This window comes from Homo sapiens, chromosome 12 (assembly GCF_000001405.40).
Source record: "Homo sapiens chromosome 12, GRCh38.p14 Primary Assembly".
NCBI classification, from domain to species: Eukaryota; Metazoa; Chordata; class Mammalia; order Primates; family Hominidae; genus Homo; species Homo sapiens.
Window position 1 is genome coordinate 70,599,980 of NC_000012.12, and position 16,232 is coordinate 70,616,211.

Consider the following 16,232-nt stretch of genomic DNA (forward strand, 5'->3'; position numbering starts at 1 on the left):
TTTTTTTTTTTTTAATGTTATTTAGAAAGAGAAAGAAAGCTATATTTATAGCACAAATGATATTTGCTTCTTAATTGTTTTTGTGACAGCATGGTCATTAAAACATTAGTATTTATTGATATAGAAATGTCTAGACTCTTTAGAATTAGAAGTGATTGTATTTGCTATAGAAATAAATTCAACCTTATAACAAAAAGGGCAGCCAATCCATGAGTTGGTGCCAAAAGCTTTTCTTAAAGGCACGACAGCACCACATTACATCTGTATAGGACCTGATAATCTACAACATGCTTTCTCAGTTGGAATAGGGGCTCAGAGACATTAAATGACTCACTCGTGTTGTATAGGAACAGGTAGTAAAGTTGAGCTTCCAATACCTGTCTCTAAATCCTGTTTTCTCTCTATCACACCTTAGCTGTCCTAGTGTGGGAAATGATGTCATGAATTGCATATTCAGTGTAATGACAAAAAATAAAAATAGATGTCTACGGAAAATGATAGGCATATTTATAGAATTTTTCAGATGTTGGTTTGCTACTGTAGCATAGTCAAAATGAGTAACAACAGTAGTAACAGCTAAATCTAATTCTGTGAGCATGAAAGTTCCCTTTTCGAAAATAATATTTTTCTTGCCTGTTCCCTTTTTTCCTTATTTTATTGCCTTTACCTGGAGTCCCTTCATTTTGTGTTGGATTACTTTGAAAGCCTTCTAAGTGTCTTCCTTATTTTCTTTTGAGACAGGGCCTTGCTCTGTCACCCGGGCTGGAGTCCAGTGACGTGATCATGGCTCACTGCAGTCTCAACCTCCTGGGCTCAAGTGATTCTCCCACCTCAGCCTCATGAGTAGCCAGGACCACAGGTGCACACCACCATGCCCAGCTAATTTTTGTATTTTCTTTTTTTTTTGAGATGGAGTCTAGCTCTGTCGCTGAGGCTGGAGTGCAGTGGCATGATCTCGGCTCACTGCAACCTCCGCCTCCTGGGTTCAAGCGATTCTCCTGCCTCAGCCTCCTGAGTAGCTGGGATTACAGGCGCCTGCCACCACGCCCAGCTAATTTTTATATTTTTAGTAGAGATAGGGTTTCATTGTGTTGGCCAGGCTGGTCTCGAACTCCTGACCTCGTGATCCACCCGCCTTGGACTCCCAAAGTGCTGGGATTACAAGCATGAGCTAGCGTGCCCAGCCTAATTTTTGTATTATTTTGTAGAGATAGGGTTTCGCCATGTTGCCCCAGCTGGTCTCAAACTCCTGAGCTCACATGATCCTCCCACCTTAGCCTCCCAAAGTGCTGGGATTGCATGCGAACCACCACGCCCCGCCTCTTCCTTATTTTCCGTCTTTCCTCCATGATTGCCAAATAATCTCTTTGTACATCTGCCCCATCTGTCATCTTCATTCCCCTTGAAGCATCAAAAACTTTTCATGAGTTTCTATTTCAGGATAAAGTCTAAGTTTCTTTCTAGGCACTTGAGTTCTTCTCAAACTGGATTTTATCCCTGCCTCCCAACCAAACAACAGCATCTTTACAGAAATTGGGATACCAATCTAGTAACAAGCAGAGTGGTGAGGAGACTTGATTGGAACTGCATTTATGTAGCATTTTATGTAAAATGGAGTAAACATCCACTATTCATATGAAATAATTGGAGGATTACTTGTAAAAATCAGGGTGGGATGGGGCAAAAAACCAAACCATCCTTTGGTGCAGGTTTTTGAAAATGAGAAGAAAAACAAAACGGAAAAGAATTGTGCACAACCTCCAGTTAATTAAATACATTTCTAGAGAGGTAATTTCTTTTTTTCTTTTTTCTTTTTTTTTTTTTTTTTTTGAGATGGAGTCTCACTCTGTCACCCAGGCTGGAGTGCAGTGGCATGATCTTGGCTCACTGCAAGCTCCGCCTCCCAGGTCCTGCCATTCCCCTGCCTCAGCCTCCCGAGTAGCTGGGACTACAGGCGCCCGCCACCACGCCCGGCTAAGTTTTTTTTTTGTATTTTTAGTAGAGACGGGGTTTCACCGTGTTAGCCAGGATGGTCTTGATCTCCTGATGTTGTGATCTGCCCACCTCGGCCTCCCAAAGTGCTGGGATTACAGGCGTGAGCCACCGCATCTAGCTGAGAGATAATTTCTTTTACTTTGTTATTATTGCTGTTTGACAATAGTCAGTTTTCTGGCTTACTTTAAAGATGATGCATTAAATTATGCTAATACATCAGGTTGCTGTGCATTTAATGTAACATCTGTATACACTAGATCTAAAATTAGAAGCTCACTTTTAGTGAATATTAGAGAACCATGTCAGCACTGAGGGCACCCAGACAACTTAACAAGACTAATGCACCCTCATCCCCATGATATTCTTCAGTAGTTCCAGCCCAATTATTTAATATCAATAACTGAGGCTTTTTCAATATTATCTAAAATGCTGTATAAATGCAATATACAGAGAAGTCCCCTGGACCCCTCTTCTAATCAGATTGCTGTCCAAAAGCCTTCTTATGTAGAAATTCATGAGCTGTCACTTGATATGTACTTCTAAACCTGGACATCTAGGCATTAAGGCATTATTGTTAATGTTAGATGTGATAATTATATTGTGGTTATTACTCAGAGATGTAGACTGAAATATTTACAAGTGAAATGAAATAATCACGACTTGGATTGTATCAAAATGATGTGCAGTGGGGGAGTGGGTGGGGATATAGATGAAACAAGGTTGGCCATAAATTGGTAATTATTGAAGGAAGGTGATGAGTACATGGTAGTTCATTATACTATCCTTTTTTACCCTTTTAGGTACTGAGTTTTTCCATATAAAAGGAAGAAAACACAATATCAAAAACAAAAATCCCTGCAAACCTAGATATATACTTACTGTGTTCATTTTAGTTTCATATTATATGTTTAGGGGTATATGCATCTTAATTTATACACATTCATACATATAGAATGGGATTTGTTTCTCCTACCAGGTCAGAAAAATCTAATATTATCTTTTATTCCCAGGGGGATTCCAGCAAACTGGCATCTAGGAATGGAAGGCAAACAGTTTTCCTTTGTTTTTTTTTTGTTTGTTTTTTTCATTCTGTCCAGACAAATTAGATTTTATTTCTTCCTAGCTAATGTGTAAAGTGCCATGCCTACCAACAGAAGTCAGACTAATAGAGAAATATTTCTAGGCACATAAAGGAAGACCAATTTCAGAGAACTGGGCTGGTTCATTCCATATAGGTAGCTCAGCTTGACCTTAAAATTCCTGAAATAAATGAACTGTAAATGGCTGATTACAAAATACTGAAGTCATCACCAAAAGTTCAACACAATCAGAGATCAATAGTGACTCGCAATTGCTTCACACTAAAACATATTTAACCATTATTCTATTTTTGTGTATGCTAAGTATATATATATTTAAAAGATTTTATAAGATATTTGGTCCTCTTTAAAAGGACTTGACTTTGAAAAATAATAAAATAACACGTGGTAATTTGAAAAAGCTAATGCCAACTTAAAAATAATATACTTTTCGCAGAGTAGTGGAAAGAATACTGGAGTTGGAGCCAGTAAACCAGAGTTCAAGTTCTGACTCTATTGTATGTTAGCTGTGTGAATTCGTAAACATTGTCAGTTAATTCTTATGAAGACCAATCTCATCTCCAACCTGGAAGTAATAATAGGAAACTCACTACACACTTCATATGTGACAAAAGCTTTTCTAGATTTGATGTATGAACCAATGAAAACCTCATAACAACCCCATGAGTTATTGTTATACTATCCCCATTTTGTAGGTTTGGAAACAGACCTGGAAGTGTTAAATAACTTGCCCAAAATAACGTGGCTAGTAAGCGGTAGAGGCAGTCTACCTTCAAAACTCAACTCTTAGTCTCTATGCAAACTGCCCTTTCACAATACCCCCTCCACAGGGTTGCCATGAGAATAAAATTAGGCTATAGATGGTCAGTATAATATGTATTTCATACTGTTACCAATTAAACATAATATGTGGTAGTCTTTTATATGCTATAAAAGCACAAAACAGGCTGGCCACAGAGGCTCAAAACCAGCCTGAGCAACATAGGGAGACCCCATCTCTACAAATAATTTAAAAAACTAGCTGGGTGTGGTATTGGGTACCTGTAGTCCCAGCCACTCAGGAGGCTGAGGCAGGAGAATTGCCTGAGCCTGGGAGGTCAAGGCTGCAGTGAGCTGTGATTGTGCCACTGCACTCCAGCCTGGGTAACAGAGCAAGATCCTGTCTGAAAAAAATTAAAAAAATAAAATAAAATTTTAAAGAAGCACAAAACAAATACTAGAGTACTCTTCTCTTCCTGGGAAAGATAATAAATACTCCTAGGCATTATAGATTTGATCATGCATTAAGAAGAATTGTATCAAAATCTTAATGCCAACAAATAATAGAAAAATTATGTCAATAGTTCTTAAACTTGTGTGCATCGATTCACTCTGATATTTGTTTAAAATGCAGATTCCCTCAGCTCTATTCCTTCTAAATTCTAATTCTTTCCATGTGGGGTAGAAACCAAGAATATGTTTTCATAACCAGCTCTGCAAGATATTTCGATGCAGGTAACCTACAGATATTAAGAAATGATGGCTTATGTTTAAAACTATAGAAGTATTAGGGGATGAATTGTGTCCCCACCAAATTTATATGTTGAAACCCTAAACCCCAGTACCTCAGTATGTGGAGATACGGCCTTTAAAGAGGTGATTAAGTTAAAATGGGGCCATTAGAGCGGGCCCTAAGCCAATATGACTGGTGTTCTTATGAGAAGACATTAACAGACAGACAACAGAAACAGAGGTACCACTATATGAGGACATGCAAAAAGGTGCCATTTGCAGGCCAAGGAGAGGCCTCAGAAGAAACTAAACCTGCAGACACCTTCGCCTTGGACTTCTAGCCTCCAGGATTGTGAGAAAATAAATTTCTGTTGTTTAAGCCACCTAGAGTCAGGGGTATTTTGTTAAGACACTCCTAGTAAACCAATACAATAAGAAGTGGAAATAATAGCTGATATGGTGATTCAACAATTAACGTTCCTAAAATGTTTTTTATTAAAGACAAGTTAGCCATATTAAAATAATTAAAATCATTTGAGAGGTTTTGTTTTTTATTTTTCTAGGCTGACTAATAAGTAGCTGAAACTGACTTAACAAGAGGGAAAATGCTTTTAAAATATTATTTCTACAGGTAAAGTTATCTACCACTACAACTCTTCCCTGGGCTCTGTAATCTACCCATAATCCAATGAGAATAGAATATATTTTTAGTATATGTACATTCTCTCACTAAAATATTAATTTCATTCATTCACATCTACATGCTTATCTGTATCTATATATTGGTCTATCTATCTCTTCTACTCATCATCCGTGCCCAGATCCACCATTCATCCATCTTTCCATTCATCCATCTATCCATCCATTTAATCAGTATTTACGGAACACCTACCATGTATTAGATGCCATTTAAGTACTGAAAACCTACTTCTTATTGCCAGACAAATAAATGCTCCCTAAAATTTTCAAATGAAAACCACAAAGTAGAAGTCACAAATTCAAATGTCTTTAGAATGCATTCAGGTAAGGAAATGAATGAAGTGGTATTCCAGTGAGTTGGTATCTAAAAGGAGAAGACACAAGTCAGCTCTAGAGAGTTTTAGGCACAGTTTTGCCAAATCTTCCAAAATTTTAAGAGAATCCATACATTTGGGTTTTAATGTGAATTTTTGATTTTTAATGCTGGTGAAATGATCTGGATGTTTTCACAAACACTACATGAGCCAAACACAACATAGTTATTATTTAGACACCTAGCTATCTCTAGAGGCTACCAGTTTGCAACCTCTGCTCTAGACTCTGAGTACAGTCTTCAAAAGTGCCAAGTTTAAGAAGAGCTCTACAAGAAGTGAAAAAAAAATGCCAACTTATTCCATATCTGGTATGTTCATTGTCTGATTTCTGGTGAGTTCACACTAAATACTTTGGCTTTCAAAGGATATTCTTGTTGCGTTGACCGTTTAATGACCAAGTAAACCTGAGAATTGCCAAATATCTTGTCCTCTATGGTTATGAAAGCATGGCATACATGAGGCAGAGTAAAGTCCTCATCCAGAAAAGATGAGATAAAGCTCTGTTGCCACTTTCATCATAACCGTCTCTCACCTCTGCACGAGACAACAAGGTCAGGAACCACTTTTTGTTAGTCATCTTTATAAGCTTACTAATCACTACCTGGCATAGTTCCCAACAGTATTATGTTTGATACATGTGCACTGAACTGGGTTTAAATCCATTATGTTCTTCGATTCTGATTTTAAATCTGGAATGGAAAATGACTATTGCTGAAATATTGCCCATTTAATTCAATTTTTTTATCCTTAAGGTCGTGTCTATATGACATGAAAATAATGAGCTATTTTAGACAGTTTATCAGGAAAAATAATCAGGCCAGTCACATTTGGAATGATATAGAGATCATCTAAGCAACAACTATATTTCTATCCAAATCATGTCTTGCTCTCATTCTATTTTGTTTTAGACTGATAAGACAGGCATAATAGAATAAAGAAAGCACAGATATTTTCAATTACTTTTTTGTTTGAAGTTTGTCTGAGTTTGAATATTATACTAGTTGGCATTGCTTTAATAACAGTAAAATATGATTTATGCATCTCATCTCTATAGCTCAGCAATTAACATAGGGGAATACTAGTACTTTGTATTAACTAAGTGAACAATTCACATATGTCCTTAAAATGTAGAAAGAACTACTGACAAATAAATAACAACCGACTAAAAAATTCCTCCCTGAAACAATTTTTAAAATATCTTATTTAAAAAAGTAATTTAAATCTAAACAACCATCATACAAATACATGTGGGAAATTTATCATTATGCAAATACCACCTGCAACTTTCATGCTTCACATTTATCATGCAGCTCATAATATTTGTAGACAAGTAAAGTGTGTCTCTTTAAGAAAAATGGTGAGAACCCTGAATGCTAGCACATTGTGGATGCTGATGAAGTCTTGTTTCACTCAACATGGTCAATAAAATGCAAGTATTTCTTACATTTCAGAAATGCCTCTGGACTTGAATACCTACTTGCATAATTAAACTCAAAGCCTATTCTAACTAATTACACCCACAGTAAGTCCTTTTCCATTACTGTTTTTCCAAAAAGTAAATCCTCTGGTTTAAACAACCATATTCTGGCTTCTTAAAGGTCTTAATCTTTTCTCCAACAAACTTCTGAAAGCTCAGCCTGCTTTTACAAATTGCTCTGCTCCACTGAACACATACACTAGTTGGCCAGATGCCTTTCTAAACACAATTAACACATCTGTAAGTTCTATGTTATGTATTTCACAGTATTAGCAATATGAGTATTTATAAGAACTATCCTGTAATATTAAGAAACCAACAACATTTGGACTAAAAACCCAGCCTTTCAACTTTTGTAAAATGTTCTAATTATGTGGTCTATTTCAGGCTCTCTGATTCCATATTAGAAACCACCAGATTCATTTTCCTTTTCTTTTTTTTTTTTTTTTTGAGACAGAGTCTCCTCTGTTGCCCAGGCTGGAGTGCAGTGGCACAATCTGGCTTCTCTGCCTCCTGGGCTCAAGCAATTCTCTGCCTCAGCCTCCCAAGTAGCTGGGATTACAGGCGCCCGCCACCACACCAGGCGAATTTTTTATTTATTTATTTGTTTTATTTTTAGTAGAGACGAGGTTTTGCCATGTTGACCAAGGTGGTCTTGAACTCCTGACCTCATGATCCACCTGCCTCAGCCTCCCAAAGTGCTGCGATTACAGGTGTGAGCCACTGCGCCCAGTCAGAGAAACCACCAGATTCTTAACAAGCGATTTCTCTTTTCAACTTAAGATGCTGCAAATCTCAGATATCATCTAAAAGTTTCATCTGAAGTAAGTTAAGTGATGTAATTGGGCATTTTGATTTTTTTCTTTGAAAAAAAAAGATAATATCTAGTTGACTTACTACATGAGCCCAGTTAAATTCTCTGAAACTGCTGCACCTGCCTTTAGAGCTGAAAGTTCTCACACCTCTTTGAAGAACTGTAGCAAAAGAAATGATCCTGTTTCAGGTTGAAATGTGAAAGAATACTAAGGGCAACACATTTCTAAATTTGACTTTTAAAATTTTAACATAAATTTGAATCTCTGGATGAAGGTAAGGATACACTGTTGCAACAAATAGAGATAATGAAGACTAATGAAGTCAGAAAACCTGAAAATTGTTAAAGAATTTAGAGCATGTCTGAGGGTAGCTCTGAGGATTAAATGAGGTAATGTACATGACAGCCCATACCTAAGTGTTGAGCACTTGGTAAGAACTTGGACTTGAATGACCTAAGTCTAACACTCCCATTTTACAGATAAGAAAACTGAGGCAAGAAAGGCAAACTCTGAACATATCCACATGGAGGGATTCAGCAAAAGTGTAAGGAAAATAATTGCTGTAAAGTAATCAAAGGACGTTCTCTGATACTATGCTGTTTGGGTTATTACTCAAGAGATACAAAACAATTTTCATGTCCTCATTTCAAGAGACTTTTCTAATTTTCCCTGATGAATGGCTCCATTCTATTCCTGCAGATTTTATGTACAGTTCTAAAAATAAAACTAAGTTGAGGAAAGGCATACCCCTAATATTGTACTTCTATTATTTATTCTAAAAACGTTTACTTAAAATTATTCCAGGGTTTGACAATTTAATGCAATGGAAGCGTAAACCACATCACTTTAAAAAATTCCCACCGCAGCCCAAAGTTTCTCTTTGCTGACCGCCCTGCACCCCACCCCGACCCTTTCAGTAGCTAGTTGGCTGTTTTCAGCACTAAGGGAGTCTCTGAAAGTCCACCAAGCTGCTTCTGGCTAGATCCGAGGAAACCAGACATTTCTGTCAATATTTATCTTCACAGGTATTTTTACCTTCATTTTTTGTATCCCTGGAACTCAAATGAAACACCAGCTTGAAAAGGCAGGGCCCAACCCCGTGTGGCTTGGCCATCCAATTGCACCTGTCATCCTTTACCTGTTTGCAAGACCACTGTTCTCTCTTCATCCAGAGAAATAATCCTGAAGTTATAGATGGTTCCTGCTTGTAAATCTTGAAGGTTACATCCGTATGTGGTGTTGTCTATCCGAAAGGTAGGGCACAACGCGGCCCCCAGGGTGTCACTGCTATAGATGAGGCTAAAGTTACAGGGTGAGCCCAAAATTCTCCACTGGATAGACACAGAATGGCTGGAGGCCTTGGACTCCGCCAGGGTGAAGTTACATCTCTCTGGCTCCGCCAGTCCAGTCTGCAAAGGAATCAGACACAACAGTTTAAGTCCACAGTCTGGACTGCTCAGGGACATGTCCACAGCAAGCTCCTCAAGCCACACTTTCTCCTCTACTTATCCTTTGTCCCTTGCCTCAGCCAGTCCTTTTGCCCTCTGGCCAGAGAAGAGGCTTGCAGGGGAGGTGGATGGCAACTTTCTCCCTAGCTGCTGTCCCTTGAGAGCAGCTGGAGAGAGAAGGTGGCTTTTTGCTTTGACAGCTGGATAAGCTGTCATTCTGGGTTGGGGGGCTCACCAGAGGATCATTCTTCCCAAGGCAGAAGAAGAAATTTTGCCACCTCCCTCTTCAAAGCACAACCCGATAGACGAGAAAGTGGAGTGGGAATTTGGTTTTCGGCGGGGAGGGGGCGCATCAGCTCTGACCCCTTCTCGGGCCACTCACCTGCAGCAGGCTCAGTGTGATCCACAAGGCCAACCCGGCTCCATGGCTCAGCATTGCGCTCAGTAGTTAAGATCCAGAGGAGACCGAGGGGGCTGGACGTGGGACGGCCCGAGGGCCGGGGCAGGGGGTCACCTGTTGCGCGCGCTCAGCGCGCCCCGTGGGCGCAGCGCGCTTCCCTCGGGGCTGGCGACGCGCAGGGGCCACTGCGGCCACCGCTGCTGCTGCTGCTCCTGCCGCCCCGGGCGGGCTGCGGACGCGAGAGGCGGCGGGGACAGGCAGCGCGCCGCCCTTCCCACGCTGCCATTCTGACCCGCGCTGCCTCGCCCCAGCCCCGTCCGCTGACTTCCGCAATCAAAAGGCAATTTCCTCGTCTCCCGGCAAAGGAACAATGCGCCGGCGAGGGAGGGAGCCCCGAGGAGCCAACGCCTGAGCCTGCCAAGGGGCCCGATGTGGGCCAAGCTGCCCCCGCTGCCCCGCGCCGATACCTTCCCGGCCAGGGGTCCGGTCCGGCTCCGCGGGGCTCTGCCTCCTCCTCCTCCCGTACTCTCCCTTTTCCCCAGTCTGTGGTTCTCGACCCAGTCGCCTTAGCCACAATTAGTGCTTGCTCCCTGTCACTTTCCAGGCCCCCACCCCCGCCCCTTTCCTCCCTCCACACCCAGCGTCTCCCCCTCCCTATCTTCCTTCCTATCTTCCTCATCTGCTTTCTCCAGGACCACTTTTTCCCAGGATTAAACTTGACCGCAGCATATTTCCCCAGGTCGCCTGCACTCTTTCCTGAAGTCTTTTATTAGAGAGCTTTTGCCCTTCTCACTTCAAAGCATTCATTTGTCCCGGTGGCATCCCCTGACACTAGCAAGAGAAAAAGACCCCAAAAGGATTGTCAGCTTGACCATTCTTTTCTCCCAATCACTTTCCCTTTTCTCTTGTATAGGTTTGTATCCTCCCTAAATCTTATGTAAATAGCGCTAACGACAAATATAATCACTACCAAGTGTTCAACCCACAGCTAACAGTTTTATCATCCAGTAGTTAAAGCCATTTCATCCCTAATTGTCCAGCCAAAAGAAGACAGCCATGTAAACTCTCATTTGTGGAAACTACTGTTGATAGTCAGCTCTCCACAAGTTAAAAAAAAAATGGCATTTATTCAGCGTTCAGCCCTAACTGTATGCCCTTTAGCAACTGCTTCAGTACCCAAACGGTTATTTATCTGAAAACTGATTTTAGAAAAGCTCCCAATAACTAAAGAGCAAAAATATTTAATTGTACACAAGTGAGAAAAGCAAAATATTGCAACAAGTTTTATAATTTTTTATTGCTTTTTTGGAGCACCATCCCTAACAACTGCCAAAAGAAATGAAATTCCACATTCTAATTTTCAAATCAGCGGGAAGGATGGCATATTCCTTTCTTTTTCAAATAGGCTATACATAAAGCTATGTTATTGTCTACTATATCTACTGTGTCTACTTTGAGGAAAGTTAAAACAAGAAAAAAGAAAAAAGTGAAAATTGTTTCAATTCTATTTATTTATTTATTTATTTTTGAGTCAGAGTCTCACTCTGTCACCCAGGTTGGAGTACAGTGGTGCGATTTCAGCTCACTGCAACCTCTGCCTCCCGGGTTCAAGCAATTCTTAAGCCTCAGCCTTCCGTGTAGCTGGGATTACAGGCGTGTGCCACTACACCCAGCTAATTTTTTTTGTGTGTGTGTATTTTTAATAGAGACAGGGTTTCACCACGTTGACCAGGCTGGCCTTGAACTCCTGACCTCAAGTGATCGACCCGCCTTGGCCTCCCAAAGTGCTGGGATTACAGGCGTGTGCCACCGTGCCTGGCCTGCTTCAATTCTTTTAGAAAACATGCTTTTAAAAATACCTCTTAATGAAAAAACGAAGTTTCTTCCCCTCGAGAGATTCTACAGACTTTTAATCTACAGCCAGACCAGAGATTTCAAATCCTTTCAAGTTAACAAACACTCAAAGAAGGTCAAACCTAGAACATCTGTGTATTTCTGGGAACAAAAAAACTCCCTATTTCTCTGCCTAGGTCACCTGAAGAGTAAAGAACTTTTACTCTGTATTTTGTGCCCAAGTTCAGTGGCTCTTCACAGCCTGGCATACCTGTCAGCCTCATCAGTGGCAGGGGTCCCCTCCTGCTCTCCACAGATACTGCAAGCCTTCTTACAGGCTCTGGCTGCCCTCAGCCTTTATAGGAGCCTTTTCCCAGTTTTATTCCTTTGCAACATTATGTTTTTCTTCTCTTGCTGTATTTAGATAACAATGTACTTTCCTCAACTGTAACATTGGAATAATACCTACTCTAAATACACCACACAGCTATTATGAATAAATAATATCACAACTACATTAAACTACCTTTGCAAACTTTAATGTGCTAGCAGAACCTTAAGGCTGACAGCAGAGCTCCCAAATGATTAGTGAGTCCTAAATGACCCATAAACATGAGCATACTATGAAACAAGAGGAAGAGTTTAAACTCAGGCTTTTACCGATAACATTTTTCCTTTTAAAAGTACAAAACTTAACATGAGAAATCCAAGAAAACTGTAATATATTCAAGGAAGTATAGGACTGAAAAAAGCTTCCAGATATCATCTTTTCTATGAGGAGTTTATTTGAAACTACTGGACAAAGTATAAATAAATTGGTTCATTTTGGTTTTTGTTCTCATCTTTGTTTGGAATTCCTCAACTTCTCTTGAGCCTGCTTGTCCTACATAAGGACACTATTTGAATTAGAAGTTGCATTCCAGAAATTTGGAATCAGCCACTCTGTACCATTTCAGGGGACAAGCTTTCTTCCTTGCCACCAGGAAACCTTTCCCAGACTACATGGGAAGGGTGGGGCTGCTTTTGATTAAACATGAGTGAACAAGCAGCTGTCTTAAAAAAAAAAAGTCATAGCAATTTAAAAACATTAATTGGCCAGGTGCGGTGGCTCACACCTGTAATCATAGCACTTTGGGAGGCTGAGGCAGGTAGATCACTTGAGTCCAGGAGTTTGAGACCAGCCTGGATAACATGGAGAAACCCTGTCTCTACAAAAAATACAAAAATTAGCTGGATGCTGTGGTGCGTGCCTGTAATCCCAGCTACTCAGGAGGCTGCAGCAGGAGGATTGCTTAACCCCAGGACGCAGAGGTTGCCATAAGCCCAGATTGTGCCACTGCACTCCAGCCTCGGCAACAGAGTGAAAACCTTCTCTCAAAAAAAGTTATTAATTATGAGTTCATGGCTAAAAGTATGAATCTTGTCACATTATGAACATAGATGTTGAATAATACAATGGGTCATCAAGGGGTCTGGGAGCCACTGTTTGAGAACCGTTACTTTGGACAGGGGTTTGAACTGGACATGGGGATGAGGGGCAGTGGTGTTGGATGGATGAGGGGAGGGCAGAGTAGACTGGTTAGGTTAATCCACACTCCCATCACCCATGACCTAAAAGGTCATGGTCCTTACCCCGGCCCCTCATTACCTGGCCTCTGCCCATTTCTTTCCTCCCTCCTGCTTGCCTCCTATTCTCCACTTGCTTGGGTCTGATAATTCATTTACTTTCATTCAGCGAACACTGACTAGCCACCTATTGTGTGCCAGGCTCTGGTATAGGTTTTGGAGGCTCTGCTCCCCATCCCGTGCCTATGGAACTGACTTGCCCTAGAGCTCTTGTGCCTGTCATTTCCTCTTCTTCAGCCACTCCTCCCCAGGCTCTCTGTTTGGCAATCTTTCTCTCGTCCTTTAGGTTTCAGCTTCAGCACACCTCTAAGGGGCCAGTCCCTTTCTGACCTCACAAGGAAAAATTATGTCTTTATTATTCTTCATCTCAGTGGCCATTTAATTCAGAGCAATGACTTTTGGTAATAATCTAATCATTTATGTATTTGTGTGCTGTCTACCTTTCCCGGTCATATGGAGGATTCTGTTAGAGCAGAATCTTTGTCTGTCCTGCTCTTCTTGCACAGGGATTTTCATAGAGTCTCAACCAACATTTGCTGAATCTTCATGTCAGCTTAGTAAATATTGTTACATGAATAAATATCCTAAACAAGTCCTTCTAAACATGGTCCTGTTGGTCCTGCTGGACCATGTTTAGAATGAATGTTTAGAATCTTAAATACTATCCTGGAAGGGAAGAGGGGAAAGAGAAGAGAAAAAAGAGGGAAGAGCAAAGGAATGACAAAGAAGAAAAGATTCATTTTGAAGACAAAGAGAAAAAGGTGGGAAAAGTGAAGAGAGGGAAGATGAAAGGAGGAAAAGGAGAAGGAGGAGGGAGGCAGTACCCGTTAGAACAGTGGTTCTCAAAGTGTAGCTCTCAAATTATCGTCATCTGAGAACTTGCTAGAAATGTAAACTTACCAGCCTCACCACAGACCTAGGAATCAGAAATGCTGGGGATAGAGCTCAATAATGGAGCCCTCTGTATTTTAATAGGCCTTCCAGTACTAGTTCATGAGAAGGAGTTATTCAAATTCTGAACAAAGTCTCAGATTATACCCTAAACCCTGTACTTGATATCATTTTACATTCAGGAGAGTTAATGAGATCTTGGCTTTAATTTTTTTTTTAATAAATTTTACTGAGCTCTTTGCTTATAAGAAAACTACATAGATGACTTAGAAGAACAATTTTAGAATGTATTACTTAAGTGAATTGGTGACCTTTATAATATATAATATGCATATTTTGATATATATAACTTCTCATTAAAAATTAAGTGAGATCGCACCACTGCATTCCAGCCTGGGTGACAGAGTGAGACTCCATCTCAAAAACAAAAACAAACAAACAAAAAAAATTAACTGTGAATACTTAAGCAAAAAGGATCAACATGTAGCAAACTTAACACATGTTAGACATAAGGCCAGTTTGATACCTTTCCTCCTAGGAGGTAGTTTTGTTATGCAAACCTCAGGTATTTATTAGAAGAAAGCATAGCAATCAGGGAAATGTGTCAATTAAAAACAACTACAAGATGGCAAATCCTTTTCTGAGTTTTACTTCGAACCGGCTCAATAGTAAATTCTGGCAAAAGTGAATACAATTTTAACCTGCAGCAGGTGTGATGCATTAAAATGTAGAGAAATGTTACTTTGATAAGTAGTTTAAAGCCAAAAACCATGACCAGCCTATTTTGTGTTTAGAGAGACAGTCTGAGATACTTACTTTTCAAGGAATTTTTCTAGCTAAACTTCCTAGATCATAGGTCTCCAGGAAAATGGAAATAATAGAAGCATTAGGAGAGGGCGGTTGTAAGGATTAAATGAGAAGTTGCATGTCATATGTATAGTACAGTTCCTGTCTAAAGGGCTCAATAAATATTAAGTTCCATGATTATTAGTAATAATACTATTCTATGAATAACATTAAAATAAACAATGAATGCTGCGCAGTCGGTAAAATTAGAGAATGACAAAGTTCATGACTGAGAACTCATCTTTCTGAGAACATCCAAATGACCGTAAATTATCATTGCTTCCAATCTCGTACCTAAAATCATACCCAAGAAACTCTTCAGTAGATCAACACCCAAAGACATTTAACAGCTGCTCAGTCTGTTAGACCAGCCAAGATTTTTTTAAAATACTGCAAGGGAGGGGTGGGAGTGCCGGTTACGTCTCTAACAGCAGGCTCCACTGTCTCTCTAGAACACATCTCTAAGGTTTCCTGGTATTCTTTTTTCCCACACCCATTTATCAGCCTCTTCCCCTCCCCTACTTTTTATTTTGTTTTAATTTGAAGGAAATGGGCTTTACATAGCTTTTGTTATAGCTCTGTAACTACAAACAGCCAAATAATTTATAATCAGATGTGAGTGCAAGTGAGCCACTCTTCCAATCAGGCACTTCTGCTGCATCTTCTTTCACACCACAGTTCCTGCCACCCCACCCTTGGAAGGGAGTCTACTCCCAGATGAACCCAGTTGAGGCAGTAATGCTTGCAATGGGGCAGTCTATATGGGTGTAGCTGCTGTACGCTATGGATTTAGGAGCTAGCAAACATTTATTACCAAACCCTAGGATAGCAGACAAATAAAGCATGGCTTATGATAACATTGGCTTTAAAGAAAAGGAAATCAAAAACAGTCACCCACAGAAATTATGGGTGGAGGGAATAGGCTGCATATATCCTGAATTAAGTGTGCAATCTCAATAAAGTTATCAAATTCAGGAAATTCAAAATGGATATACTTAAATCCACAGTCTATATTTCAATTTTGTCAACGATCTCAATAATATCCTTTTTTTTGCTTGTTTTCTCTCTAGATCCAGCCCCAAGGATCCTGTATTGCATCTAATTGTCAGTGTCTTAATCTTCTTTTTAAATTTTTTAAATTATTTATTTTATAGAGATGGGATCTCCCCATGTTGCCCAGGCTAGTCTCAAACTCCTGGGCTCATGTGACCCTCCTGCCTCGGCCTCCCAAAGTGCT

The 16,232-nt window shown here is 40.1% G+C and overlaps 1 protein-coding gene across 9 annotated transcripts in view; it reads right to left on the reverse strand.

Moving 5' to 3' along the window:
- The window catches only part of PTPRB (protein tyrosine phosphatase receptor type B), a 121,560-nt gene that overhangs the window by 84,110 nt on the left and 21,218 nt on the right, over nucleotides 1–16,232 (reverse strand). For 5 of the 9 annotated variants that reach the window (XR_944651.2, NM_001330204.2, NM_001109754.4 and 2 more), the window contains exon 4: nucleotides 9,090–9,360. Coding sequence is in view for 8 of the 9 variants with exons in the window: in NM_001330204.2 (NP_001317133.1) it covers nucleotides 9,090–9,360 (271 nt within the window). In the remaining variant the exon portion in view is untranslated. Of the gene's footprint in view, nucleotides 1–9,089; nucleotides 9,361–9,781; nucleotides 10,046–16,232 lie in introns of those variants that run through there. The other 4 variants (NM_001206971.3, NM_001206972.3, NM_002837.6 and 1 more) reach the window with 1 other exon arrangement.